The sequence below is a fragment of the Homo sapiens genome, chromosome 16 (genome assembly GCF_000001405.40).
Source record: "Homo sapiens chromosome 16, GRCh38.p14 Primary Assembly".
Lineage (NCBI taxonomy): Eukaryota > Metazoa > Chordata > Mammalia > Primates > Hominidae > Homo > Homo sapiens.
The window spans coordinates 57,462,352-57,489,174 of record NC_000016.10 but is presented as its reverse complement, the minus strand read 5'-3'; the positions used below and the strand labels follow the sequence as shown (position 1 = coordinate 57,489,174).

General features: G+C 53.8%; 2 protein-coding genes across 19 annotated transcripts, besides 7 other annotated features; one reads left to right on the top strand and one right to left on the bottom strand.

The window, feature by feature from the left end:
* Nucleotides 1–1,852: 1,852 nt before the first annotated feature.
* Nucleotides 1,853–17,253, top strand: DOK4 (docking protein 4). Of its 18 annotated transcripts, none has more exons than NM_001394657.1 (9): nt 1,853–2,079; nt 9,490–9,733; nt 13,218–13,325; nt 13,555–13,669; nt 13,956–14,075; nt 14,193–14,382; nt 15,136–15,274; nt 15,439–15,562; nt 15,680–17,253. In NM_001394657.1, the coding sequence occupies exons 2-9, from the start codon at nt 9,668–9,670 to the stop codon at nt 15,796–15,798; spliced, it is 981 nt and encodes a 326-aa protein (NP_001381586.1). In that variant the 5' UTR covers nt 1,853–2,079; nt 9,490–9,667; the 3' UTR covers nt 15,799–17,253. The 18 variants fall into 18 exon arrangements, with proteins under 18 accessions (NP_001381586.1, NP_001381587.1, NP_001381582.1 ...); NM_001394658.1 differs by having other exon boundaries at nt 9,487–9,733; NM_001394661.1 differs by lacking the exon at nt 1,853–2,079 and adding an exon at nt 2,682–2,870.
* Nucleotides 2,502–2,801: a silencer, noted in NCBI's record as "silent region_7530". NCBI's record gives its function as "represses an Ori minimal core promoter by ATAC-STARR-seq in GM12878 lymphoblastoid cells {active_cell/tissue: GM12878}" and the evidence as "EXISTENCE:reporter gene assay evidence [ECO:0000049][PMID:35858748]".
* Nucleotides 2,502–3,429: a biological region, named in NCBI's record as "H3K4me1 hESC enhancer GRCh37_chr16:57519658-57520454".
* Nucleotides 2,633–3,429: an enhancer, noted in NCBI's record as "H3K4me1 hESC enhancer chr16:57519658-57520454 (GRCh37/hg19 assembly coordinates)". NCBI's record gives its function as "activates a minimal SCP1, AML or CMV promoter by ChIP-STARR-seq in naive H9 embryonic stem cells {active_cell/tissue: H9 hESC(naive)}" and the evidence as "EXISTENCE:reporter gene assay evidence [ECO:0000049][PMID:30033119]".
* Nucleotides 13,689–14,477: an enhancer, noted in NCBI's record as "H3K27ac-H3K4me1 hESC enhancer chr16:57508610-57509398 (GRCh37/hg19 assembly coordinates)". NCBI's record gives its function as "activates a minimal SCP1, AML or CMV promoter by ChIP-STARR-seq in naive H9 embryonic stem cells {active_cell/tissue: H9 hESC(naive)}" and the evidence as "EXISTENCE:reporter gene assay evidence [ECO:0000049][PMID:30033119]".
* Nucleotides 15,143–15,663: an enhancer, noted in NCBI's record as "H3K4me1 hESC enhancer chr16:57507424-57507944 (GRCh37/hg19 assembly coordinates)". NCBI's record gives its function as "activates a minimal SCP1, AML or CMV promoter by ChIP-STARR-seq in primed H9 embryonic stem cells {active_cell/tissue: H9 hESC(primed)}" and the evidence as "EXISTENCE:reporter gene assay evidence [ECO:0000049][PMID:30033119]".
* Nucleotides 15,664–16,185: an enhancer, noted in NCBI's record as "NANOG-H3K27ac-H3K4me1 hESC enhancer chr16:57506902-57507423 (GRCh37/hg19 assembly coordinates)". NCBI's record gives its function as "activates a minimal SCP1, AML or CMV promoter by ChIP-STARR-seq in primed H9 embryonic stem cells {active_cell/tissue: H9 hESC(primed)}" and the evidence as "EXISTENCE:reporter gene assay evidence [ECO:0000049][PMID:30033119]".
* Nucleotides 17,166–26,496, bottom strand: POLR2C (RNA polymerase II subunit C). The gene is made up of 9 exons (NM_032940.3): nt 26,365–26,496; nt 26,097–26,146; nt 23,154–23,222; nt 22,948–23,000; nt 19,882–20,010; nt 19,414–19,465; nt 19,046–19,214; nt 18,821–18,895; nt 17,166–18,200 (listed from the first exon to the last, which is right to left on the bottom strand). Exons 1-9 carry the CDS (start codon nt 26,448–26,450, stop codon nt 18,056–18,058), a joined length of 828 nt encoding a protein of 275 aa, NP_116558.1. The 5' UTR covers nt 26,451–26,496; the 3' UTR covers nt 17,166–18,055.
* Nucleotides 26,344–26,638: an enhancer, noted in NCBI's record as "tiled region #83; HepG2 Activating DNase unmatched - State 1:Tss, and K562 Activating non-DNase unmatched - State 1:Tss". NCBI's record gives its function as "activates a minimal TATA promoter and a strong SV40 promoter by Sharpr-MPRA in HepG2 and K562 cells {active_cell/tissue: HepG2 | K562}" and the evidence as "EXISTENCE:reporter gene assay evidence [ECO:0000049][PMID:27701403]".

Sequence of the window (26,823 nt, the reverse complement as noted above, 5' to 3'; positions counted from 1 at the left end):
AAGGTATTGTGCTTGAATCATGCTGAAAACACTCCCACAACATCCATGGAAAAATTATCTTCTATGAAACTGTCTGTGGTGCCAAAAAGTTGGGGACCACTGGTCTACCTGATTTTAAGACTTTTTTTTTTGAGACAGAGTTCCACTCTTTTTGCCCAGGCTGGAGTGCAATGGCGCGATCTTGGCTCACTGCAACCTCTGCCTCCCAGGTTCAAGCGATTCTCCTGCCTCAGCCTCCCGAGCACACGCCACCACACCCAGCTAATTTTGTATTTTTAGTAGAGATGGGGTTTCACCATGTTGGCCAGGCTGGTCTTGAACTCCTGACCTCCAGTAATCCATCCGCCTTGGCCTCCCAAAGTACTGGCATTATAGGCATGAGCCACTGCTCCTGGCCTTAAGACTTACTATATAGGCATAGTAATCAAGACTGTTATTAACAGAGAGATAGACATGCAGATCAGTGAAATAGAACAGAGAATCCAGAAATATGTCCAACTGATTTTTTACGAAGTTGCAAAAGCAATTCAATGAGAGTCTTTTCACCAAATAGAGCTAGAACAATCAGACATCCACAGGCAAAAAAAAAAAAAAATGAAATCAAACCTAAACCAAAAAAAGACATCAAAACCTCTATCAAATCTCACACTTCCTATAAAATTCAACTCAAAATGGATCACAGACTTAAATGTAAAATAAAATTATGGAACTTTCAGAATAAAACACAGGAGAAAATTCAAAGAGTTTTTAGATTAGGCAACAAAAGTGTGATCCATAAAAGGAAACATGGATAATTCAGACTTTATCGAAATTTAAAACTTTTGTTTTGTGAAAGACTCTGTTAAGTGGATGAAAAGACAAGCCAAAAACTGGGAGAAAATATTTGCAAACCACATATTCAACAAAGGACTAGTAGGTAGAATATACAACTCTCGAAATTCAACAGTAAAAAAGCAAATCATCACATGGGGTGCAGTGGCTCATGCCTGTAATCCCAGCACCTTGGGAGGCCGAAGCAGGTGGATTGCTTGAGCTCAGGAGTTTGTGACCAGCCTGGGCAGCATGGTGAAACCCTGTCTCTACAAAAAAATCCAAAAAATTAGCTAGGCGTGGTGGTGCACACCTGTAGACCCAGCTACTGAGGAGCCTGAGCAGGGAGGATCACTTAAGCCCCGAGGCAGAGGTTGCAGTGAGCTGAGATCACACCACTGCACTCCAGCCTCAGTAACAAAAAAAGAAGGCTTTTTATTGTGAAAATTCATTTGTGTTGTTGTTGTTGGCCAAAGCTCCCCTAGAGGTTTCTGGTGTTGAAAAACAGTTTGCTATGATGAATCAAGTGCTGGGAGCTTTAGGGGCTGTGGTTTGAAGCAAAGCAGGTGAGGTCAAGTTTGAAAGACGCATAGGGAGGTCAGGAGGTTGAGGCCCAGGCTAGCTTGGCCATGGGCCTGGGGCTGGTTAGCTCAGGCTGATCACAGACACCACAATGACCATCAGGGAAATTTTCAGACATCCAGAGGCAGCCTCCTTTTAAGCTCCCTGGGCAAGGCTGAGGCCCAGGCGTCTCCGGGGCAGGGGCATGCATTCCATGGGTGGGTGTTGGGATCCTTGGTCCCTCACTGCTTTAGGCCTATTCCTCTGAGACACCTGGACAGTAGCTGGATGTGGAGGTATTTTCATTTCTCAGGATTTTGGCTGTTCAGGTGGCCTATTGTTTTGTTTTGTATATATGGTCTAAAGCAGTGGTTCTCACACATTCGTGTGCATCAGAATCACCTGGCCTGTTAAAACACACATTTCTGCTGGAAACCCCCAAAAATTCTGATTTCATAGGTCTGAGTAGGGCAGGGAATTTGCATTTCTAACAAGTTTCAAGGTGATGGGAAGCTTCTGGTCCAGGGACTACACTTTGAGAAGCCCTGGTGTAAAAAGGTACAGACGTGAAAACCAGAGGGGGGACAGCTCCTCCCCAGAGGAGGCACTGGGCAACTTCTCTTGTCCCTGCCTGGCACAGCTGAGGCCTGTGACTGGGGATTCCGACAGATCAGTGAGTCAACCACTGCACAGGCCCGAAGGGCAGAGGTGAGGGGGTTGGGGGCTGGGTGGGGGCAGCAATGAAGGGGAATGAAGTTTGAGCTTGAGGGCAAAGTCTCAGGGGGACCTAGAATGGGAGAACTGGATGTTTTGAGGGTGGAGAGGAGACCAGGGAAGACAGAGGTGCTGGTGCGGCTACTTGAGGAGGGGTAGCAGAGGAGGTCACTGTGGGGCTGGGAGAGCTGGGCTGTGAGGGCCCAGAGAGTCATGATGGGGTTAGGGGAGCAATGGGTGTGTATGTGATTCCTGAAGAAGTGAAGGAATTGAGATATGGGGGCTGGGAGCTGATGTGGCGTATGGGTGTGTATGTGATTCCTGAAGAAGTGAAGGGGTTGAGATGTGGGGGCTGGGAGCTGATGTGGAGTTCAGCTTTCAGGGGCTGAGAGGCCATGTGGGCTTTGGGGCCCAGGGAGGGGCGGTGGGAATGAGCTGGGGGTACCGGGGGCGACCTGAAGCGGGTGCGGGGGTGCCAGGGCGCCAGGGCAGAATCGCGCGTCCCGCGGCTCGGAGGAATACGGCGGGGGCCGGCCGCCAGGGCGGGGCAGGGGGCGGGGCGCAGCGGCGAGACCTGGCGGAGGGGGGAGCGGAGCGGAGTCCCAGCCGGAGCCCCAGCCGGAGCCCGATCCCTAGCCCTGCGGCCGCGCCTCCCTCGCCGTCCCCGCCTGGAGCCCGGCGCCGCCGCCGCCCTGCCGCCCCCGCCAGCCGCGCCGTGACGCGGGCATGAGCCTGCTCCGCGGCGCCGCTGAGCAGGCGCTCCTGGCCCGGGCCTCGGCGCCCAGGTAAATTGGGGGGCGTGAGGCAGGGAGGGGGACATAGGCCGCCCAGAGCCTGCAAGAGTCTCGGCGACTCCCACCCCTGAGGACCCTCAGTCACTTCCTGAACCTGAGGACGCTCCGTCCCATGGGACCTTCCTACTCTCGGGTGGGGAGCTTAGAGACCCGCCCCCCAAAAGCCAGTGCCTGGGCCCTGAAACTCCCTGCGCTCTCTCCACCCGCAGCTTTCCTCTCCGGGGGAGCCCAGGTCGCGAGCTGACCTCACCCGCACCCACACAAACCTCATCCGAGCAACCCAGGCCCTGCGCTCCCGGGCCTGCCCCCCCGGAAGGGGCATAACCCAGCCCCTGGCAGCTCCCAACCTTCTCTCTGCCTTCCTGCTCCTCCCCGGGGCCTCCTGTTCGCTCACCTCCTCCAAATTCCAAGAGATGATTTTCTGTACCCCAGCTGGCCCCCACTGCCGACCCCCTCCTGCCTATGGGGTTTCTCCCCACAGCCCAAACTCATGGCCAGCTGCCTCCTGTCCTTGAACCTTTCTCCATTGGCCCCCAAGGTCCTGTCCACCTTCTCCCCCAGGGCCCGCAAGGCCCTAGATCCAGTTACATGCTTTCTATTACTGAAAAGGGGCATGAGCCGAGGCTGGGCACCTGGGTGATGTGGCAGAGCAGGGGCTCTGTGCAGCCTGCCTGCCCCAAGCCATGGGGACACGTCAGTTGCTGGGGCGCTTCCGCTTGGATGGAGGGTGTGGGTTGGAGGGGTCTGATGGCCAGGGCAGCGAGGGGCCTGGCAGTATCTCTAGGAGACTCCACTTGGGCAGTGTGAGGTGGGCTTGCTTAGGGCAGGTTCTTTCCTGGACCCTTTCAGAGGGATGTGGCGCTGGTACAGGCTCTTCCTGCCCCCACCCCCAACTCTGATCCCAGGAGCTGTGCCTCCTCTCCCCAGTTGCTTGCCTTGCTGTGCTGGTACTGGTTACTCCCAGCACTTCCCTCCTGGGCAGGGCAGCAGGGCTGGGCATGACCTCACCCCACAACCCTGGCCAAGGTGGGGCCGCCCAACTAGGCCTGGCCTCGATGTCAGCAGCATGCTCTTCCCTGAGGCAGCTCTGAACCAAACTGCGGGTCTTGGGCACAGCTGGTTCTCCAGTAACAACAGCCTGCTGGCCATGCCAGTCAGCGCTGAGACCCAGGAGCTGGGAGCCCACTGTGGCTCACGCACCTCTGGAAGCTGAGCCAGGTCCAGCCAGATGGAGGCTGGTGGTGGTGGAAGAAAGGATGGGGAGGAGGACAAGTCCTGGAGAGAATTACGTGTTCAGCCCCCAAATATTGAGCATCTCCTTCCCACCGGGCACCATTCTGGGAGCTGGGATAGAGCTGTTAACTAGACAGACGAGGCCGAGCCACCAGGGAGCTGACATTCCAGATGTCTCTCTGTGGCCAGAAACAAATGGACAGATGTAAGAACAAGAAAATCCCATGGTGATGTGCGATGAAGACAGCCGCATCTGATGTTGTGAGAGAGGCTGACTAGTGGGGGTCCTTTGGTGAGGGTAGTCAGGGAAGGCCTCCTGGAGGAGGTGGATGAAGCAATGGAATGAACCATGAGCATGTGAGGGAACAATGTTGTAGGTGGGAAACAGCTAGTGCAGTGGTCCCTCGAGGGAGGGGTTTTGGCATGTTGAGGGGTGGGCAGGGGACCCAGGAGAACCAGAGTGGTACGGGGCCACAGCATTACTCTCCTGGCTTAAGGGTCTGGGGGACCATGGCTGTTCAGATGTCCCCTCCTTCTGCCGTCCCTGTCTGCCTAGATGGGTATTTGGTCTGTCTTTGCCATCCACCTTGATGGGACTCACCATGTTTTGGCCGGTGGCCCCTATGGGGATCTGTTGGGAGCACTCCCAGCCGGCCTCTGACAACAATCTTGGGGTGGGGTGGGGGCAGAGCAGCAGGTGATGGGAAATGGCTCTGGTGCTGGAGAGAATCCCACAGATCCAATCTTCGCCGTTGGATCGAGACAGCCAGACGACACTGAGATGGTGTCCAGGTAGGGCTGTTCCTGCAGCCCTGATAAGATCCGATCTGTCAGGGGTGGGGAGGCCCAGCCAGGCAGGCAGCCGCTCGCTCAGTCATTGGTTGCCAGCCTCAGCGCGTTTGTTCTGGAGCCAAAGCCTCCAGGCAGAATCCATGTGCGAGAGGGAGTGCTCAGCATGGCTGCCCTGTGGGGCAGGTGGGCAGTGAGGGCCCTGGGAGTCTCCCTACTCCCCGCCACCCCAGGACACCAGCCCTTCCTGGGGAGAGGAGCATTTTGGAGCTGGCTCTCCCTGCGCGGAAACCTGTGGTGGCCTGGCACCAGGCAGGTACTGTCCCTGGGTAAGCAGCAGTATTGGTACCAGGCTGGGAGGTGGGATGCGGGGGGCCCTTGCTCCCCTCCTCCCTCACTGGAACCCTGAGAGCGACTGCTGGACACCGTGCTTAGCTGGGAGCTCGGAGCTCACAGTGCTGGGGAAGGACCCAAGACCTCAGGTCCTCTCAAAGTAGCAAGCATTCTTCCTGCTGCAGGCCTGTTGGGGACAAGGGCCTGAGGGACAAACAGGGCAGGGGCTACTTCAACCCAATTCCTGGCCTGCCTAGCCTCAGCTGCCCTCCAATTTTTGTATTTTTTTAATTGATTTTTTTGAAATTTTTTAGAAACAGTCTCACTCTATCACCCAGGCTGGAGTGCAGTGGCTTGATCATAGCTCACTGCTACCTGGAATTCCTGAGCTCAAGTGATCCTCCCACCTCGGCCTCCCCAGTAGCTGTGACTACAGGCACGTGCCACATGCCCAGCTTATTTTTTCATTTTTTGTAGAGACGGGGTCTCTCTATGTTGCCGGATCTGGTCTTGAACTCCTGGCCCCAAGTGATCCTCCCACTTTGGCCTCCCAAAGTGTTGGGATTACAGGTGTGAGCCACTGTGCCTGGTCTGCTCTCCACTTCTTGCTGTCCTATTGGGCCTTCACAGGCTCAGCTTGGGGGCCGCCTCGCTTGCTTAACACAGTGCATTCCTTCTGGAGGATGGTGGGTTGGTTCTGGGCCCCCCCCTCACCACTTGACCCCACTGCCTGTCAAATTTGTGGGTCCACCTATTGGCCCTGACCTTTCCCTCCCCTTCCGAACCCCTCTTTGCCCACCATTTTGGGTCCTAGGTTAGGTCTTGCTCTTGCAAACATCATTAGGGACTAAGTGTGGCCAGGGGTCCCTGTGACTCAGGGCCGGAGTGAGCTGGCAGGACTTTGGCACCCAGCCTTCCCCGTGAAGGTCACTCTTCCCGCTGGGGACCTGGGGTATGGGACGGGGTGGGGCCTATGGACAGACGCAGCAGGAGCACTCCTGCGAGCTTGGGGCCACAGTCCCTGGTGGGGCAACACTGGGAAGGAGCAGGCTGGCTTCTGGTGGTTTCACCGCCCTGTCTGGGCAGCAACTCTTGAAGAAAACTATATATATATACATACACACAGCCCTTGGAGTTTTCAAGGCAGAAGCTCTGGCCAGGCGCAGTTGCTCACACCTGTAATCTCAGCACTCAGGGAGGCCGAGCCTTGTGGATCACTTGACCCCAGGAGTTCAAGACCAGCCTGGGCAACATGGTGAAAACCCATCTCTAGGGGCCGGGCGCAGTGGCTCACGCCTGTAATCCCAGAACGTTGGAAGGCCGAGGCGGGTGGATCACAAGGTCAGGAGATCGAGACCATCCTGGCTAACACGGTGAAACCCCGTCTTTACTAAAAATATGAAACAATTAGCCGGGTATGGTGGTGGGCTCCTGTAGTCCCAGCTACTCGGGAGGCTGAGGAAGGAGAATGGCGTGAACCCGGGAGGCGGAGCTTGCAATGAGCCGAGATTGGGCCACTGCACTCCAGCCTGGGCAATAGAGTGAGACTCCGTCTCAAAAAAAAAAAAAAAAAAAAACAAAAGCCCCATCTCTACAAACAAGTTTTTAAAAATTAGCTGGGCATGGTGGTATGTACCTGCGGTCCCAGCTATTCAGGAGGCTGAGGTGGGTGGATCACTTGAGCCTGGGTGGTTGAGGCTGCCGTAAGCCGTGATGGCACCCCTGCACTCCAGCCTGGGTGACAGAGCAGGACACTGTCTCAAAAGAAGAAAAAGAAGGCCGGGCGCAGTGGCTCACGCCTGTAATCCCAGCACTTTGGGAGGCCGAGGCGGGCGGATCATGAGGTCAGGAGATCGAGACCATCCTGGCTAACACGGTGAAACCCCGTCTCTACTAAAAATACCGAAAATTAGCCGAGCATGGTGGTGGGAGCCTGTAGTTCCAGCTACTCGGGAAGCCGAGGCAGGAGAATGGCGTGAACCCAGGAGGCAGAGGTTGCAGTGAGCCGAGATCGCGCCGCTGCACTCCAGCCTGGGCGACAGAGGGAGACTCCGTCTCAAAAAAGAAAAAGAAAAAGAAAAAGGGTAGAAGCTCTGTGTCCCAAGTGGGCAAGCAGGTGCCTCATGAATTCATTTCCTCATTTAAAGTAGGTAGATTTATTCTCATTTTTTTCCAATGGGGAAATTAAGGCACAGGGTCTTAAGCGGCTTGCCCAGGACCACACAGCCAGCTGGATTCACACTCCGGGCTGTGCTATGTCTGAGCTATGTTGGATGAACCTGGGGGTCCAGTGGCTTCCTGTAGGCGTGTTCTGACTGGGGGCTTCCACACTGTAGACCCACAGCCAGTGGTCAGCCTGCTAATCATCTTGGAGAGGAACTCCTGAGCTGGTCCTTGCTCTGAGGAGAAGGCAGCCCCAGAGGCAGGCGGTGAAGACAGAGCTGAGAAAATTGACCCATCTCTGGCTGCCAGAGCCCAGGTGTAGCAGAGCTGTTGGGGATCAGTTGCCAGTGAGGGGACCCCAGACCAGACCTTATAGGAGGAATGTAGACTGCCTAACTGTGGGAGGTTCTTGGACCCCAGGGAGCTGGGATAGAGGCAGTGAATGGGCAGGAGTGGAATTGAGGGGCTATCAGGGTGCAAGTGGGATAGGGGCGCATTACCGTCTCTGCCCCTCCCTTGTTTGCGTGTGCCCACTGGGGTAGTCCCATCTGTGCGTGTGCCCACTGGGGTAGTCCCATCTGTTCCTTGTTAGGCACTCAACAGACAGGCCTCCAGGACATTAATTAATGCCAAGCTGCTGGCACAACCAGCAGCATGCCTGTCCCAGGGCCCCGTTCTGGCAGCACAGATACCCAGCTGACCCCAGAAATGCTGCTCCGTTCCCACCCGCTGATCCTGAAGACACAGGGGCCACATTGCTGGCATAACCCTGCCCCCGAGGATGGATGGCAGGGAAGGCTTAGGTGGTGGCAGGCAGCCAGAGACGGCAGCAGGATGTTCCCCCCACAGACTGGTCTCCATCACCACCCTGGACCTTCTCCTTCATCCCTGGCTCTGCCCCAGGCCTGCTGTGTGACCTTAGTCATGTAGCTTACCCTCTCTGGGCAACTTTTCTTTCTCCATCTATAAAATGAAGGGGTTAGACTGGGTCAACACTGAGCCTCCCCCTGAGTCTGAGTCTTTGTTGTCTGTAGATCTGCCTGATTTGGGGTGGCTCTGCTGGTACTCCCACTTCCTGCTCCATATCTACCTCCCCTTGGTATCCCACATTGTCTCCTGCATGTCTTGTTGCCCCAGGGCCCTGACTGGTACTCCTATAATTAACTCCTGCCCATGCTCAGGACATGGAGGGCCTGCTTGGCTTGGCCAGACCCAGTGGCCTGTTGGGGCCCGGGCCCCACCCTCACGGACTGGCCAGCGTTCCCAACCCCAGGGCCAGGGCAAGGCGTCTGCTCCCACAGTGGCTACCTCCAGCCGGCCCAGCACATTCCTCAGGCTTATCTGGAGGCCCGCCCCACTGGACTCTGCCCTCCCACCCAGGAAGCAGCACCCAGAGCTGCGTGCGGAAGAGTTGCAGGGCCTGGGAACAGGCCCTGCGTGAGCTCGAGGTAGTGATTCTTAGCCTGGGGCTGGAGAGAAACAGGTAGAGGACCGGGTGGGGCAGGAGGGTAGAGGGGTTTGTGGGGGCTGCTGAGCTGACCAGGCAAATTGTCTTTAACATTGCAGAGCATGGGGTTCACTCAGACACGCAGGGGTCATCTCCTGCGACCCTCCTCCTCCATCTCTGGGAAGCGCTTCCCTGCTACCCCTGGGAGCTCTTGTACCCAGGAAGGGGCTTTTGCTCTTGGCAAGTTGACCTAAATTTGCACCAGAGTTATCACAGTTGATGGGGCCACGATCCCAAAGTGCTGAGGGACAGCAGCTCCCTGCCACTTCCCTTCCTGGGTCCCCACCTCCACAGTAGGAGCCAGAGCCAGTCCTCCCAGGAAGGGGTTAACTGCCAGCCCCAGCCGTGAGGGAGGGGACTGGGCTGGACCATTTTCCTCACTGCCGCCTCCACCTCGGTTTTCCTGAATGGTTCTGTCGTCCTGGGGTGGGGAGGGAAGGGAAGGAAGAAGGGCGGGAGGAAGGAGGGAGGGAAGAGGGAGAGAGGAGGAGTGTGGGAAGAGGAAGGAAAAAAGAGAGCGAGACAGCGAGAGGAAGAGAAAGATGTCACTGTCTCTAATCTCCCTGTCATTTTTATTTCCAGCAGGCGCGGGGCGAAGGAGCTGCTAGAACAATGCTGAGGCGGGTGAGGTGAGGAGCAGCCCCTCGCGGCAGCCCCGACAGAGTGTCTGGAACAGGTGATTGGAGGAGCCGGAGACCCAGGCACCTGGGCATCCTTCCCCTCGCCTCTGCCAGGCCCCGCGCCCCTAAAAGGTGGGAAAACCATGGCGACCAATTTCAGTGACATCGTCAAGCAAGGCTACGTGAAGATGAAGAGCAGGAAGCTCGGGGTGAGTGACCCTGAGCTGCGGAGGGGCCCTGCCAAGGGATGGGGGCCCGAGGACTCGGTCCCAGGCTTGGAGGCATGGCGCGTGGGGCACGCGGCTGCCCTCCGGCTGCCGGGCATCGTGCATCTGTGGTCTCGGGGCTCCTCGCCAGCGTGCTGCCTGGCATGTGCCTGGGCTGGGTTCTGCCTGCTGCAGCCCCCGCCCCAGAGGGCTGGCTGGCATCCCAACAGCTGGGCCAGTGGTGGTGGTAGTGGCAGCAATGGTGGCCACCGATGGGCAGGCGGCTCCCCTGCTATTGTTGAAGTTGTCACCACAGCAGCAGCAGGGGCGGCTGGCAAGGCCGGGCTGTGTCTGAGCTGAGAAGCAGCGTCTCACTTCCCCTGGCCTCCTCTCCCTTCCGTTTGCCCCCCACCCCCGGCCTCCCCTCACCTCTCCTGGCCTCTTTTCTTTTAGGTCATCCTCTCCCCTTGCTTCTGACTGCTTTCCGTGTGCAGATATTTAGTAAATTTTTGGTTGTCGAGTTTAATGTTAAAGAAGTGTTTGAAAAGGGGAGTGGTTGGCTGGGCGAGACGGGGTGGTGTGAGGCACTGAAGCTGATATTTATGTGGTTTCCAAATGAGAACTTTGGGCAGAATGGTCCAGTGCTCTGGGACAGGCTGCTTCCCTCCAAGTTGTTGGTGGGTGACTCTGTGCTTGCTTGGTGCTTGGCCCTGAACTGGGGGCTTGGAGGGGCTACAGAGAAGAGGTCTTACTGGGCATGCATCCTGTCCTACCCTCTGTAGACCCCCAACTGGTGAAGACCCCCTAGAAGACAGGAGCAGAGGGGATCAACTTCATGATCTCGGCGAGGCTGTCTGAGAGCTGCCTCTATTCCTCTGCCAGGCCCCCCTGCCAAAGACAGGTCTGGCAGTTGCCCCTTCCCCTGTAGGAAGGACAGCCCTGGTGACTGAGGTCACCCAAGTCTTGTGTTTGACCCAGGACTCCTGTCCCCTTCTCCCTTCTCTCTCCCATTGCCTTGAAGGGGGCGGGTCGGCTCAGGCTGCTCAAGGATCCCTGGCTCAGCCTGAGTGGGGTTGGGGGGCATGCGGAGTGGGAGAGGGATCTGCCACCCAGCTTCCCTACCTGGGTACCAGACAGAGCAGGGCTGGTCTTGGAGAAGGTGGTTCTGGCCCCACTTCCCCTCCTGTGCCTCCCTGCCCTGGGGCTCAACCTAGTTGAGACTGGGCCCTGGCAGCCATCGGCTACTTTGCTCTTCCTCTGAAAGGGGGATCAGCCCACTGACTTGGAGCACAGAACAAAGAGAGAAGCTGAGGCTGAGGTAGGGAGGCCAAGGAAGCAGAGGCTTCGCTTCTAACATCACTTCTCATTCCTATGGCCCCAGACTTAGCAGGTCCCCAGGGGCCAGCTGGGCTGAGGCCTTGCCCAGGGCAGAGTGTGCCAGGAAGGCACCAGCCACAAGGGCAGCCACTTGGGCTCAGTATCAAACCTGTTCCAGAGGGAGACTGAGTGGCTGACAGGTGGGCACAGCCTGGATGGGGAGGTGGGGCATAGCCAGGCCCTATCCATGCAGGGAATTCTCTTCCCTCTGAAGCCAGGAGCCTCACTTCCCCTGGTGTGAGAGGCTGTGGTCCCTCCCCAGCAGCCATTCTCATCTCAGCCCACAGAGGTGAGGGGGGAGGGGCTGAAAGAGATCAGGAGCCGGCTCTCCTACCTGCCAGGGCCTTTCTCCCGCGGCAGAGCTGTGGCAGAGTGTTTCTGAAGCACTGATCAAAGCCCTGTGCGAAGTGGGAAGGAGGGCTCTTGAGCGCGTGGCTCCCTGGGGCTGTGAATGTGTATCCTGTAACCAGGCAACCGGCATGCTCAGGCCCCCAGGCCTTCTGCCCCTGATGCTGCGGGCTGCATGGAGCCCACCCTGGCAGGGTGTATCTGGGTCGGCAGCATCCATCCATTCATCCATCCATTCATTCACGGTTCCTTCATATGGTCATTCACTTGTTTAGCATGGCTGTTAATGAGGCTACCAGGATATGAGTGAGGATTCTGTGGATAAAATTCAGTGTCTGTCTTAAGGGAGCGCTGCAGCTGAGAGCTGAGGGCTGCTGTGGTTTAGGTGGGTAGGACAGGGGCCAAGCCAGGGTCAGGGGTGCAGGAGCAGACATGCCTCCTAGGGTCCCAGATAGGAGCCAGAAATGGCCTGGCTCTGAGTGGTATCTTGAAATGGGGGCTGCCTAGGGCCACTGCACCCTGGGACCCTGCCTGCCAAGGACCTAGTGTACGCATGGCACAGTAGGGCCGAGGAGGGGTGGGGCCTAGAGGCCCCCTGGCCTCCTCTGCTGTGCTCTCGGCCACCACTCAGTCTCCCTACTGTTTCCAGTAAGAGGAACACCAGAGATGCCTGGGGAACAGGCTCTGTCGGGCTTTTGGAATGCCCGCTGGAAGGAGTAGGTAAACCCCAGCCACAGACTTTGGGCAGAAAAAAGTCTAGGCAGGAGGGAGGGGTCATGCAAGGGCAGCTCTGGCTGGTGGCTGGGGCCAACTCCCTCTCCACCACCCATGAATGATAGGCCAGTCTGTCCCTTCAATCCTAGAGTGGTCACTCCCCTCTGCTCCCCACCCCCTTGGGGGAGTCCCTGAAGCTACAGAGAATGTAGGTAGTTTAAGGTACAGGGGCATCAGCAGTGGCCAGGGCCAGGAGGGAAGGCACCATGCTGTGGGAGGAGCCTCAGATTCCTAGCTCCACCCCTTTACCTCAAACAGCTTTGGGTTCCCAGCTGGAGCAGGGCCCCTTACATTTCAGGGTTGGTAAGAGAATGAAAAGAGAGGGTGAGTGAAAGCCCCAGGAGACAAGAGTGGGGGTTACCTTTGTAAAGACCCTCACCTGACTCAGAGAACTAGGGGCACGGGGATGTACAGGTGGGCAGGGGGAAGGGTCTAATCCCTATCCCCAGGAGACCCCTCTGTTGTGGCTGGCACTGCCTGAGCCCTGGCCAGATCCTGCAGTGGGCTGTGAGGGTCTGCCCTGGATCTAGACAGCCTGCTGCAAATACCAGCATCACCATTCCTTAGTGTTTTGATGCCTCCCTTTCCCCATCTATAAAATGGGGATGATAACAGAACTGATCTCAGGAGTGGCCCTGAGACTGTGCACAGTGCTAATAACAGGTGTGAGCAGGAAGCACTCAGGAACGTTGGCTACTCACACTAAACTCAGCGGTGCACACAGTACATGGCAGGTCAGGAGAGCACCCTTTGTGGAACAGCGTTTTGGAGCCAGCCAAGAAGTCAATGACTTTTCAATTTGGGGAGGAGGCTTCTCTCCCAGGGAGGTGACACTGCTGGTGACTCCCACCCCCGGTGTCCCCAGGCTGGGGCTCCAGGGAAGGCTGTGCGGCACCGCCCCCTGTGGCAGGCAGGGGTGGCTGCAGGGCCATGCTGGTGGGGTGGGAGTGGTCCAGGGAGGCCTGAGCCCTGTCATCTCGCTCCACAGATCTACCGGAGGTGCTGGCTGGTGTTCCGGAAATCCTCCAGCAAGGGGCCCCAGCGGCTGGAGAAGTATCCAGATGAGAAGTCGGTGTGCCTCCGGGGCTGCCCCAAGGTTAGGAGGCCTGGGCCCTAGCTCCCCCAAGTGGCAGGGCTGTGGGGGATGGAGAGAGAGAGAGGGAGAGAGGGGAGAGAGGGAGAGAGGGGAGAAAGGGGGAGAGAGGGAGAGGAGGAGAGAGAAGGAGGAGGGGGGAGAGAGGGAGGGAGGGAGAGAGAGAGAGAGAGAGAGAGAGAGAGAGAGAGATGCACTGGCCTGGCTAAGTCCCTTGTGGATGCTGTCCCAGGTGACTGAGATCAGCAACGTCAAGTGTGTTACGCGGCTCCCCAAGGAGACCAAGCGGCAGGCGGTGGCCATCATATTCACTGATGACTCGGCACGTACCTTCACCTGCGACTCAGGTGAGGCGCGAGTATGGGCCTCCATCTGCCTCCCCTGGGGTGGTCTTGGTCAGAGGTCCAGCTAGGAGCGGGCAGAGCAGGGCTAACCCTGGGTGGAGATGGTGGTGTGGTGTGTGTGGGGTTGGGGGTGCTTTCAGGGAGCAGGCCCTCAGGGTTGAGGCAAGACAGGCAGGCAGAACCCACTGTCCTTACCCTCCCTGCTGTGCATGGTGGCATAAGTCAGGCTGGGCAGACGGGGTGGGCTACCGGGCTCTGGAGCTGCATGATGAAGTAGCATTTTCTTCAGAGCTAGAGGCAGAGGAGTGGTACAAGACACTATCTGTGGAGTGTCTGGGGTCCCGCCTCAACGACATCAGTCTGGGAGAACCTGACCTCCTGGCCCCAGGGGTGCAGTGTGAACAGACAGGTGAGGCCGGGCCCTGGCCCTGGGGGTGGGGAGGGGGAGGAGGAAGAGAGGAAGGGAGGGAGGAAGTCCCCATCTGGGGCAACTCTGGTCCCACTTGTCCACCCTCCCCCACTCCAGATCGCTTCAATGTCTTCCTGCTGCCCTGCCCCAACCTGGACGTGTATGGCGAGTGCAAGCTGCAGATCACCCACGAGAACATCTACCTCTGGGACATCCACAACCCCCGTGTGAAGCTCGTCTCGTGGCCCCTCTGCTCACTGCGCCGCTATGGCCGGGATGCCACACGCTTTACCTTCGAGGCTGGCCGGTAGGACCCTCTCGCCTCCCAGCCCTGTCCTACTATGGTGTGATGGTGGCTGCCATTCACTCTGTGTTGGGCACTGTGCTAGGAGCTTGGTTTACTTATTGGCCTAGCAATCCCAAGGGGGAATGTAATGTTCCCATTTTACAGACGAAGAAATGAAATGGAGGCTTAGAGGAGTAACTTGCCCACAGCATGCAGGTCAAGTGAAGCTATTTACCAAAAATCATATACTACTTTGGCTTAAGTCAAATGCAGGTTCAGGCACTTACTACTTCTGTGACTGTGGATCTGAGTCTGGGTTTCGGGGATAATAAAGTACCTAACCTCCTAGAATTATAGTGAAGACTGGGTATCCCCTCACTTGAACTCTGGAGTCAGTCTGCCTAGACTGAAATTCCATATAATCCTCTGCAGAACCTTGGTTGAGTTACTTAGCTTCTGTATGCCTCAGTTTCCTCATCTATAAAATGGTTTGGGAAAATGCATAACAATGAGGAAACCATTAATGGTACAGAGACCAGAGGGAGGTGGTAGAGAAAACTGAATGGGTTAATTCTTATAATGCATTTCAAGCACCAGCTGGTATAGAATATGCTCAGCACATTTGCACCGTGTGGTCGGACCCCCAGACCACAGCCCTACCTGTCCTCCCGGCCTGGAATGCAACCACAACTTGCAGTTGCAAGAGAGCCTAACTAATCACATGCATGTCTGTGGTGGGTCCCCACCATCTTGCCCTCTGTGCTGTGTCCCCAGGATGTGTGATGCTGGGGAAGGACTCTATACCTTCCAGACACAAGAGGGGGAGCAGATTTACCAGCGCGTCCACAGTGCCACCCTGGCCATCGCAGAGCAGCACAAGCGGGTCCTGCTGGAAATGGAGAAGAACGTGAGGGTGAGGCAGCGGGCATCAGTCCAGGGTACGGGGGGAGGGGGGAACGGGCGGGCAGGCAGGGCCAAGTGCCTGGGGTACACAGTGGAGGCAGGTAGGGTCTTGGGGTGGCTGCTCAGGGATACTGTAAGCCACTAATGGGAGTGACCCCTTCCTTTGCCCCACAGCTGCTGAACAAGGGCACGGAACATTACTCGTATCCCTGCACACCCACGACCATGCTGCCGCGCAGTGCCTACTGGCACCACATCACTGGTTCCCAGAACATCGCCGAAGCCTCCAGCTATGCTGGTGAGTCGCTTCCATGCCCCACACCCACCTGCCAGGAGGCTTTGTGGAGGATGAGGCCTATTGGGCAGGGGTCTTTTGACCTAGCTCTGAGTTCTGAGCCTGCTTCTGTGCCCACAGGTGAGGGGTATGGGGCAGCCCAGGCCAGCTCGGAAACAGACCTCCTCAACAGATTCATCCTGCTAAAGCCAAAGCCCAGCCAGGGGGACAGCAGTGAGGCCAAGACCCCATCCCAGTGACCACAGTGCTGGCGAGCACCGATGACTGCTGGGGGCTGCCTGCTGCGGGGCTGGCTGCAGTGTACCGTGGACAGCCTCAGGGGGCTGTCGGCCAAGAGCCTGGAGAAAGGGAGCAAGCTGCCCCCTCCTTGCCCCCAAGGATGAGGCTGGACTGAGGCAAAGGGCTGGCCACACCACCTGAGCATGTGTGAGGGGTTGGAGCTACCGTGGGACTATATACTGTTAATGATTTTAATATATATGGCTTATGACATACTCTGTATCAATGAGATCCCCTCACCCTCACCCCATCCTTCCCCACCAATACACACAAATTTTTTAATCCCATGACCAGGCCACGGTCAAGGCTGTTTTTGAGTATGAGTGCAGTCGTGTCCATCCTCCATGGCACAGCCCTCCTGCTGCCAGGACCTGCTTGAACTACCAGGGCCACAGGAGGGGGATAATCAGAGCTTGAGGCTGGCACTCTGACTGCTGGCTTTTCCCAGACAGCCCAAGGGCCGGAACAGCAGGTGGCTTCTCAGTTCCTCTGGGCCTGGAGTGACACAGGAAGGATCTGCACTTCCTCTGTGCTGCTTGCCAGCCTTGCAGTTGGAGTTTTAAGCAGAGGTGACATCTGGTTGACGCCTCAGGTGAAAATCTGGTTTTAAAATGTAACTTCTGCACAGGCTCCTTCCTGCTTTGTAGGCTGGGAAGATGCCCCTGGGGTAGGGGTGCTGATTACCTCAGCCATGTGGAGGAAGGCTGGAGCTTGTTCCTGCCCCAGGAATAGGCCAGGAGGGAAGGCCGCAGCAGGACTGCCGTGGGGAGCACCCCTGCTGCCCCCCTCTCACTGACCAGGGGTGGACAATGCCCAAGCAGAGGGAGCCCCCTTGCCCTGTTTGGCCACCCTCTGGCCAGCCAAAAGCACTCTGAAACCAAGACCTTCCCATTTCCTCCTCCCCACATGGTGCTGAGGCTCCCTGCTGCAATGCAATTAAAGCAATTGATTTTCTAGTGCTGGTATTTGTTGACTACCATGCAGAAGGGCTATCTTTCTATTCACGTCAAACTTTTGGTTGTGTGGGGTTTTTTGTTGTTTTTTGGGTTTTGTTTTTTAATACTTTAGGGTCCTGATTTGTGGGAACAGACCTTCTTGTAAATAACCACTATTTGAGTTGTGGCAGGAGGATGATAAAGCACGCGGCCCCTCCCAAAGGAGCCCTTGAGCTAGGGAGGTGGTGCAGTCAGCCTCGCTCTCAACGTGACCCGGGGAATGACCACCCAGAGGGATGAGCTAGCCTGTAGAGGGGAACTGGGGTCCAAAGGTCTTTGGGGAGGGAGGCAGAGCTGGCTGGCTCAGCTAAGTGGCACGATGACGCATGAAGGAGATTATGTTGTGCTCTTTATTGCCAAAAATAAACACTTTTAAAAAGACAACTTCTGTTAATCAATAAATATCCTTTCCTTTCTGTACTGGATCTCTGGTTTTCTCCAGGCTGCCTAATTAACTGCTTTGTGCATGTTCCTATCTGGAGACAGTGCTGAGGGGTTAGGGCCAGAGCCTTCATTAAGGAGAAATGAAATACTCCTCCTGTGTATGTGGGAGGGGCCCTTGCTCCTGCGGCTGCTTCCACCCCCACCCCCACCCCCACCCCCACCAAACTAAATGATCAGGTCATTGGAGGTGAAGGGGTTCATGACTGCTGGACAGAGAATGAAATATCATGTTTATTTGGTGGGGAGGGGACAGCCAGGGTCTAATGCTATTCCAAAAGGTTACTTCTCAAATTAGGGACACCTGGGAATTTGAAGCGCTAGCAGGCCAGCCCTGGGGCAAGAACTGGAAGGGTTTATAGGCCCCCTGAATAAAGGCTATGGCACTTGATCCTCAACACCAGACATCTAAGGTACAACTGAAAATGACTCATTTTGGACAGAAAGGGTTTAGAGTAAAGAGCTGGACTAACCAGGAGAGAAGTCTAGTTGGTTCCCTACAGGTGCACTGGAAACACTCCAGCAGGGACCTTCTGGGATCTGGGGAGCACTGCTGCCAATTATTAACAGCAGTCAGGGCCAGTAAAGACCTATCCTGCCTAAACACCACTGCATCCCTGGTAATCTATCTATGACCCACTTCTAGTTGGTACTGATGTCCTGCCAAGAAGCTCAACCAACAGTAGACTAGATTCTCAGAAACGAGAAGAGTCTGAAGAGAGACCCCCATATCCAGCTGCTGGCCTGAATCTCCGTTTTTGCTGAAGCAGGCAAGCTGCAGTTAATTTATGGTTAGCACATCACTCTGGATCTCGTGGCTTAATTGAGTTTGTAAATCACTCAGTTTCTTCTTCAATCCTGAGAGGGCTGACAGGACAATGGTTTCAGGACGCAGAGAGCCACAGGACTCCACATTGTAGTAAAACCTAGGAGGCAAGAGTCCAGTGAGTGCACTGCGAGGCAGGCTGGCCGACCCGAGCTCTGGCCATGGACAACCCTTCCTCCTTCCGGGTCTTGGCTCTGTTCCCACATGGAACTTGACCTTGGGCCAGGGCTAACTTCCTTTCATGTAAAACCTCTTACATAGGGTAGTTTCAACACACTTTGCACAACCTCAAGGAGGCTACAACTACCTCATAAGGTACCTGTGAAAATCCTAAAGTTCTGTATGTATGCATGCCCCCTGAGGAGAGAGTGGAAAACCAAGTGAGCAGTGACCAGTGATAGACCTTTCACAGTCACCCTGTGGAACTTGGGTCCAAATCTCTGCCCCTAGCGTTGACCTGAAGAATCTCTTCTTTGGGGGCTGAAAATCAGAACAGGAACCACCTGGATAAATGGAGGGTCCTCTTTGTCAGTGACCAAAAGGGGCTGACGACCTGCCCCTGGGATGTGCACATACCACAGGTCTAGTTTAGCAGTCAGCAGCCCCTCCTCAGCTTATGAGAACTGCGAGGTGGGGGAGAGGGAATGCCTAACTCACGGCCTGAACCAAAACCATCCCTTCTTCCACACTTCACCTTCCCATGTCCAACCAGGCTCTTACCTTTCTGGCTTGCCGTTGGGGTCATAGGGAGCCTGCGACTCATCCTCATCCAGCTCCGAGTACTCACTCTTTGGCCTGAGGTCAAACACAGGTCAGCACAAGGTTGCCACTGCTCCTTTTGGGGCACCCAAGTTCCTAGAGAGCCTGCCACATCTCAGTCAACAACAGCCATTTCTATGCCACACCCACCCCAAATGCCTGCCATCACTCCTAAGGGGAACATACCATTCCTCGGGCTTGGGGTACACTGTGTGCCTCAGGGCATTGTCTGGATCGTATTCAAAAGCCACCCCTGCAGTAGGGTTCCACTTGGCATGCTCCTTGCCAAAGCCCTTTTTGGCATAGGCTCGAAGTCTCAGCTCCTGGCCCTTTCTCAACTTGACGATGAGGATGTCTGCAGGGAGAGGCACAAGTCAGTCAAGGGCCAGGAGAGACATGCTTCTCCAAATTCTGACTTGGAGTGCCACTGCAAGACCACACACATCTGGAAAAACGGTCTAAAGCCAATTTTCGAGGAGACCAGGCAGCACGAGAGGCTGTGTCTGGTCCCTCCTTCCCGCTGGCCCACACGGTGACAGGTCAGGAAGACTTACCATCCTGCTCCACGTAGTCATTGGGGTCATTATCTCGGTTCCGGGATGTCACCTGTAGGGAGTCCACCAGGCATTCATTAGCTGCTCACCTCCCCAGTCACCTCCTCTGGCATCCATATCCCAGCACCTCTAGACTGCAATCTGTCAACCAGGGAACGAACACCTGACGAGGTGGTGGCACAGATGCCCCCAGGACTCCAACCCCCACTTCAGGGTGTGGTGGTAGCCTCAGGCAAAACAATTCCATGGCCTTTAAAAGAGTCCCTGGGTGATAGAGGGTGCGCAGCACCAACGATGCTAACGATGCCCAAGAGGAATCCAGAATTAGCACTTCTAGGGATCAGATTAAGGCAGAGGGTAACAGGGAAAGCCAACATTTTCTAAGGATCAACCCCAGTCTGGCCCACTTGGAGCCAGCCAGAGAAGAGAAAAGATCCCAGGGAAAAGAGGATGCTCTCCCGCACTGACCGGAATGACCCGGGGGCTGTTGGAGATGAGGTCTCGAGACGTGACATGTCGCGTCTGGTCTTCATTGCACCGCACATCGAGGGTGAACTCCACCGAGCACTCGGGGCAGAACTCCTCACATGTGCAGTCCTAAGGCAGGAAGGGAAGCAGGAATGAGTCAAAGGGAGATGGCAACTCCTGCCTTGGCTCCTTGTCTTGGCTTCCTGCATCTAATGCCCAGTTCCTTAAGTTTCTTCACCTGTAAAAAGGGGTTCATCAGTATCCAGGTTCTTGTGGGCTGTGACAATCTGGTATACCATTCTCATGGACTGCCCAAGTTTAGAGACAACTTATACATACACTGGCACGCACATTTCTTTCCCACTCCCACCAGCTGCCAGGCCACCTCTGGGGACATATTGCTAACATCTCCCTCTGGCCCTTGAACTACTCTTCCTCAGAGAACCAAGGCTATGAGGCACAGGAGAATGCTTTCACACTCTATAGTTCAGCTTCCCAAGAACTAAGAGGACCAGCTTGGGAATGTAACCATCATTTAAAATAAAACCACCAAGGAACAGAAAAAAGTACCTTTCAAGTTCTACACTAACCTTTTCTAAAAAATCCTTTCTATTATGGAAAATTTCATACATATACACAAATAGAGAAGCACGTAAGAAACTGCCATCCCATAACCATCAACCACCTTCCATAATTATTAACATTTTGCCATTCTTAAAACAACTGACTCATTCCCATGTTAGGGACTATTAATTGCAGTTTCACTTCAGGCAAGAAGACAGTTACTAGGATGCAATCAAGCAAGCTGTTCTCTCCCTCACACCAGTGAGGAAAACCCAACACTCTTTTGATGTTTGCATGCTGAGGAAGAAGCAGCAGCTAGAGGTCCCACCTAGGTCGTCTGCAGTCACACACAGGTGAGGTAGGAAGGCAACCCAGACCCTTGAGACAGAATCACTTTTAGAAATATGAAATGGGGCTGGGCACAGTGGCTCATGCCTATAATCCCAGCACTTTGGGAGGCTGAGGTGGGAGGATCGCTTGAGCCCAAGAGTTCGAGACTAGCCTGGGCAATATGGCAAGACTGTCTCTACAAAAAATACAAAAAAATTGTATTTTTTGGGTGTGGTGGTGCACAGCACCTGTAGTCCCAGCTACTTGGGAGGCTGAAGCAGGAGAATCATTTGAGCCCAGAGGCTGAGGTCGCAGTGAGCCAAGATCATGCCACTGCACTCTAGCCTGGGTGACAGAGCGAGACCTGTCTGAAAAAATAGAAAAATAAAGAAATATGAAATGGGAGAATCAAAATGTAATGGAAGATAAAAATATGAAAAGGTATTTAACCTAAAAAAAATGTACTGAAAGGAGAGGAGTCTGTTTGAGATGAAAAGAGACTAAAGTGCTATGAGGACCAAATGAATCTTCACTGGATCAAGACTGACCCACAAACAAACAGAAAAACAATAAAGGATATTTGGGGAAAAACTAGGAAAATCTGAATATTGATATTACAGATTAATGCTAACTTTCTTAGGCACAATGAAAGTGTAGTTATGTAGGAAACTATTCTTATTAGGAAATGCATGCTGAAGTACTTGGAAGTGTTAGGATGTCTGCAACTTTCACACAGTTCAGCAAAAATAACAATTTGCATATGAAAAATAAAGCAAATGTAAAATATTAATTGGTAACTATAGGTGAAAAGTAAAGGGTATTATTTTAGTTTTTCAACTTTTCTACAGATTTTCAGAAAAAGCCAGAGAGAGAGAGAGACAGACCATGCCATCTTTGTGCAATAAATACTAGAAAAAATTTTAATGAAAGGAACTGCTAGGTGATAGAGCATGCGTATCTTTATGTAAGATATCGCCAAATTGCTCTTAATTGGTTGTACAACGGTCCCCACCAATATCTATGTTTTATTTATTAAAAAACAAAAATCTGGAGATCTGAAACAAATAGGGCAAAATGTTAAAATGTGACAACGTAGTATTAGGTAGAAGCATGAGTATTTATTACACTAGCTCCATGCTTTTCTGTGCTTGAATATTTCTTTTTTTTGAGACGGAGTCTCACTTTGTCACCCAGGCTGGAGTGCAGTGGCGCAATCTCGGCTCACTGCAAGCTCCGCCTCCCGGGTTCATGCCATTCTCCTGCCTCAGCCTCCCGAGTAGCTGGGACTACTTGGGAGCGGGACCACGCTCGGCTAATATTTTGTATTTTTAGTAGAGACAGGGTTTCACCGTGTCAGCCAGGATGGTCTCGATCTCCTGACCTCGTGATAAACCCGCCTCGGCCTCCCAAAGTGCTGGGATTACAGGTGTGAGCCACTGCATCCAGCTGAATATTTCTTTTTTAAAAATACACACATATTTATAAGATATATCAAATTAGCCATCACAAAAATGACATGGCCCTTGAGAATATTAGAAAATGGACTGATTCTGGATCACCCAAAGCCATCAAGAGGGAGTAGCCTTAAGCTGCTGTGTAATGCAGCCTAGTGAAAGGATGAAGGTAACCGACTCCTATCCTACTCTCTCCAAACTCTGAAGGCCTGTTAACATGCCATCAGGGAGCAAACACGACCAGGAGGAAGGGGGTGAGACACTAAGAGTGTGGCCATGTTTAAGCAGCATCACCTGCGAGGGAGGGGACAGCATGAATCTGCAGACACCAGGACTAGTCCCCCAGGAGCTGCTCTTGTGAGACAGCTCCCATTCCCTCTGCTCCTTGCCTACCCCAACCTTCTGTTGACTCCTGTAGCATCCTAAGGCCCCTGCTACTGGGAAGAGATGCTTTGGAAGGAAGAACCTCCACTCTAAGTATAAATGGGCACTGTGGTGGAGCTGCCTAACAACACTCCCTGATGTTCTGCGTGCTAATCAATCTGAAGCCCCATCAGAACGCAGGACCAAGGCCTGCCCAGGCTCTAGACAACATCTCCACGTTGTTGTTCCAGAACTACAACAGTATTCAAGCTGGATGCCAAATGTCAGGAAAAATCCCTTTGAGAACCAAAGCCTCCCCACCAAACCTCACATTCCACCCAATCACACAACATACCCGAGAGTACTGCAGCTTGTCCACAATGTCATCACTAATGAGGGGAATTAATCCTGTAAAAAACAGAAAAGCACTTTAAAGAAAACCAAACAGCCAAGCCAAAATGAGAACCCAGAAGCCTTCTGGGGGTGAGGCTGGAAGGAGGCCCCCTCCTGACACTAGGCACAATACCCTCCCTTTAACCTCCTAGTAAAAGGAGTACTCACCAAGCCTGTGAGCAATGAATTCATCATGAAGAACTGAGGAATTGGCATCAATCTGAACCCAGTCAATGGCTAAAAAATGAAAGAAGCAGACATGGAGTTTAGCCATCAAATTTACCTACAGACTTAATGCAGTGGTTCTCAAGATTTAGGAATCACCTGACACTAAACTGCAGATTGCTGGGCTGATTCCACAGCATTAGAGTGGGGCCCAGGTACTTGCATTTTAATAAGACCCACACACACCACACCTCACCTCCCTGCCCAGGTGAATTTAATGCAGGGGGCTCCCTGCTTCACAGAAAACACTGACTTATAGAATATCATAGAAGTGGAAACATGTTTATTTGAGCTGAGTATTTGCATGAGAAGCACTTAAATCTGCTACCTGTGCCACCACTAAATCCAAGAACATGAACTATTTGAGCACTTCAAAGTCAGGGAAACCCTCACAGAAGCAACACAGACTTATGGGGCCATACCTCATTTTAGGATATAATGACTGGACTGCCCAACTTAGCACTTTTTAAACACTCAATCAACAAATGTTTACTGAATTCTTTTAATGCGCAAAGTATACTAAATATAGAACCCAATCCCTAGCAGCAATGAGCTCGTAGGAGGGTAAAGACTGTATTATCGATCACACATGCTTGACTTAAACACACATTTATTCATTCATAAACATTTGCATGGAACCAACTAAATCCAGGAATCAAATGGCACTGGAGCCCAACTGCCAAACGAGGGACACAGACACTAGGAACAGCGGTCGGAAGAGGACCTCCCCCTGCCAGGCCTCCACCTGCTCTGTCCTGCTATGCTTCCCATTGCTTCCCCAGTCCAAGCCAACTGAGAGAACCCTGACCCAAGCTTTTCTGCCTCTTTAATCCCCCAGCCCTTCCCTCCAGCACACCCTTCCCCTCCTTGCTGTACAGGTTAAGATCCTCTGTGCCTCCTGAAAACTAAGCCTTGCCTGCTCTCTATGCTACAGATGTGACATTCCCTCCCTTTCAACTCCTCTCTCACAAAACTCTGTTCAGACTTCCCTCAAGACACTTGTCATAGTGTGCCTTGTGTCATATTTGTGTATGTTATGTCTATACCTCAAGCTTCAGAAATTCCTTCACGCAGGTCCTGGGATGTCTTTGTATTCCTAGCATGGGTGCTCAATATTATTTGTAGAACTGAATTTGTTGGGAAAGAGGCATTTAGACTCAGAATGGCAGGGCTGCATCATGAAGTACAACTCCCTCACCTGACTCCTGATGAAACTGAGGTCCAGAGGCATGAAGTGCTTAGGCAGGGGGAGGTCCAGCACTCCAAGCTGAATTTAAGAAGTGACTGGGGGGCGGGGGGGTGGGGTGGTGGTGGTAGTGGATAAACTACAATGTTCTCTTGCCTAATCATTTGGCCTGCTTATTTCCTTAAAAGTCTGAATATTTGATGCCACAGCTATGACTTATATTTATTTTGCCTAATCCAAACTCTCTGAGCTGACTCTCAGAAATGCTTGAAGTATTTCATACAAGTATAATCAATGCATTAAGCACCTGGAGCAGAGTGGCTGGAACCAGACCAGAAATTGATCTTCCCTCCTCTAAGAGCCAAGTGCACCACAGCTATGCTTCTCCTGAACTACTGATCAAAATCTACCTTGCTTTAGTGTTGTCTGTGGATTCATCTCTCCCCTACAACCTCACTGTGGACTCCATGAGGGCAAAAACCCTGTTCTCTACAGCTTTGCATTCCCAGAGCTTACCACCATGCCTGCCACTTTCATGCTCCATAAATGCTGTTGAAGGAATAGATTAATAAAAAAGCCATCTACCAGCACTGAGCACTCACTAAACACAAAGCACTTATATGGATTACCTCACTTAATCCTTAACATTACCCTGATAAGGATCATTAGTGGCCGAATGTTACAGATGAGGAAACTGCAGCACACAGAAGTTTAATAACTTGCCCAAGTTTCACAAAAGCAGTAAGTGATGCAGCCATAAGAACGAACGAAATCATGTCCTCTGCAGCAACATGGACGTGGCTGGAAGCCACTATCTTCTTTTTTATTTTCTTTTGTTTGAGAAGGAGTCTCACTCTATTGCCCAGGCCAGAGTGCAGTGGCATGATCTCGGCTCACTGCAACCTCCACCTTCTGGGTTCAATCAATTCTGCCTCAGCCTCCCCAGTAGCTGGGATTACAGGTGGGAGCCACCACACCTGGCTAATTTTTGCATTTTTAGTAGAGGCGGGCTTTCCCCATGTTGGCCAGGCTGGTCTCAAACTCCTGGCCTCAGGTGTTCCTCAGTCTTGGCCTCCCAAAGTGCTGGAATTACAGGCGCGAGCGCGGCCTGGAAGCCATTATCCTAAGAGAATTAACACAGGAACAGAAAACCAAACACCGCATGGGAGCTAAAACTGGGTACGCACGGACATAAAGATGACAATAAACACACTGGTGACTACTAGAGCTGGAAGGGAGGCAGTGGGGCTAGGGGTGAAAAACTACCTATTGCGTACTATGCTCACTACCTGGGTGAAAGGATCATTTATACCCCAAATCTCAGCATCACGCACTATACCCAGGCAACAAACCTGCACCAATGTACCCCTTGACTCCAAAATAAAAGTTGAAAACATTTTAAAAACTTTTGTAACAATAGTAGTGAAAACAGTATTTGAACCCAAGTCTGCACACTGCTAAACCCATGCTTCTCAGCAATGCATACCCAGGACAAGGGTGGACCTAAGTGGCCCGTGGGCGCCAGGGAGGCGGCCACTGAGCCAAGGGCACAGGGTATGGTCAAGTCTCCAGCAATGCACTTTTCTCAGCACTACCACCCTCAGCCCGAACCAAGGACTGGAAGGAGCCCCAAAGAGTGTGTGGGTGGAGAGCGGGGCAGGAACCCGTGGGCGCGGGAACGAGGAAGGGGAGTCGCTTACCTATTATGGGAACCTCAGCGATGAAGACCCTCCGAATCGAATTGGCCACCCTGAAAGATCAAAAGCCAAGGGGCGTGAAGGCGCTGCAGCCTCGACAGGCTGGGCCCGCGCCGCAGGCTCCCAAAGCTAAAGCCCTGGTGCAGGGGGGCAGCTCTGGAAGGACATCGCCCCCACCCCACCCCACTACACCCCCGCCCCCTGCCCCGGGGCCCCGGCTTGGGCCTCCCGGCGCCCCAGAGCCGCCAGCCTCTTCCCTCGGTAGCCTTACGCCAGGTCGGTGTTCTCGATGATGAACTTGACATTCTCGTCAGTGAGCTCCGTGATCCGCACGGTAGGCTGGTTGGCGTACGGCATCTCGCCCAGGGGCCACCAGCCTCCGCGTCTGCTCCGCGGTGACTGCGCGGCGCCACCGCCAACACCGGAAGTCAGTCAGCGAGGCCTCCGCGGCTTCCGCAAAGACGACTCACAGCGCCGCCTGCTGCTCGGAGGCCAGAACTGCCGAGCGTCTTCTGCGGCCTCCTGCTTTAAAATGTACCAGATTCAGCTATCTCGGAGGGTAGTTTGGCAAAACACGCATACGTCCTTCACTTAACAGTAACACTTCTAAGAATTCATACTGCAGAAACACTTGCAGTTGTAAACAAAGATACGAGTGCAGGGACGTTCGTGGTAGTACTGTTTGTACTGTCCATTGATAAGAGACCTGGTGGAGTATACACACATGGAA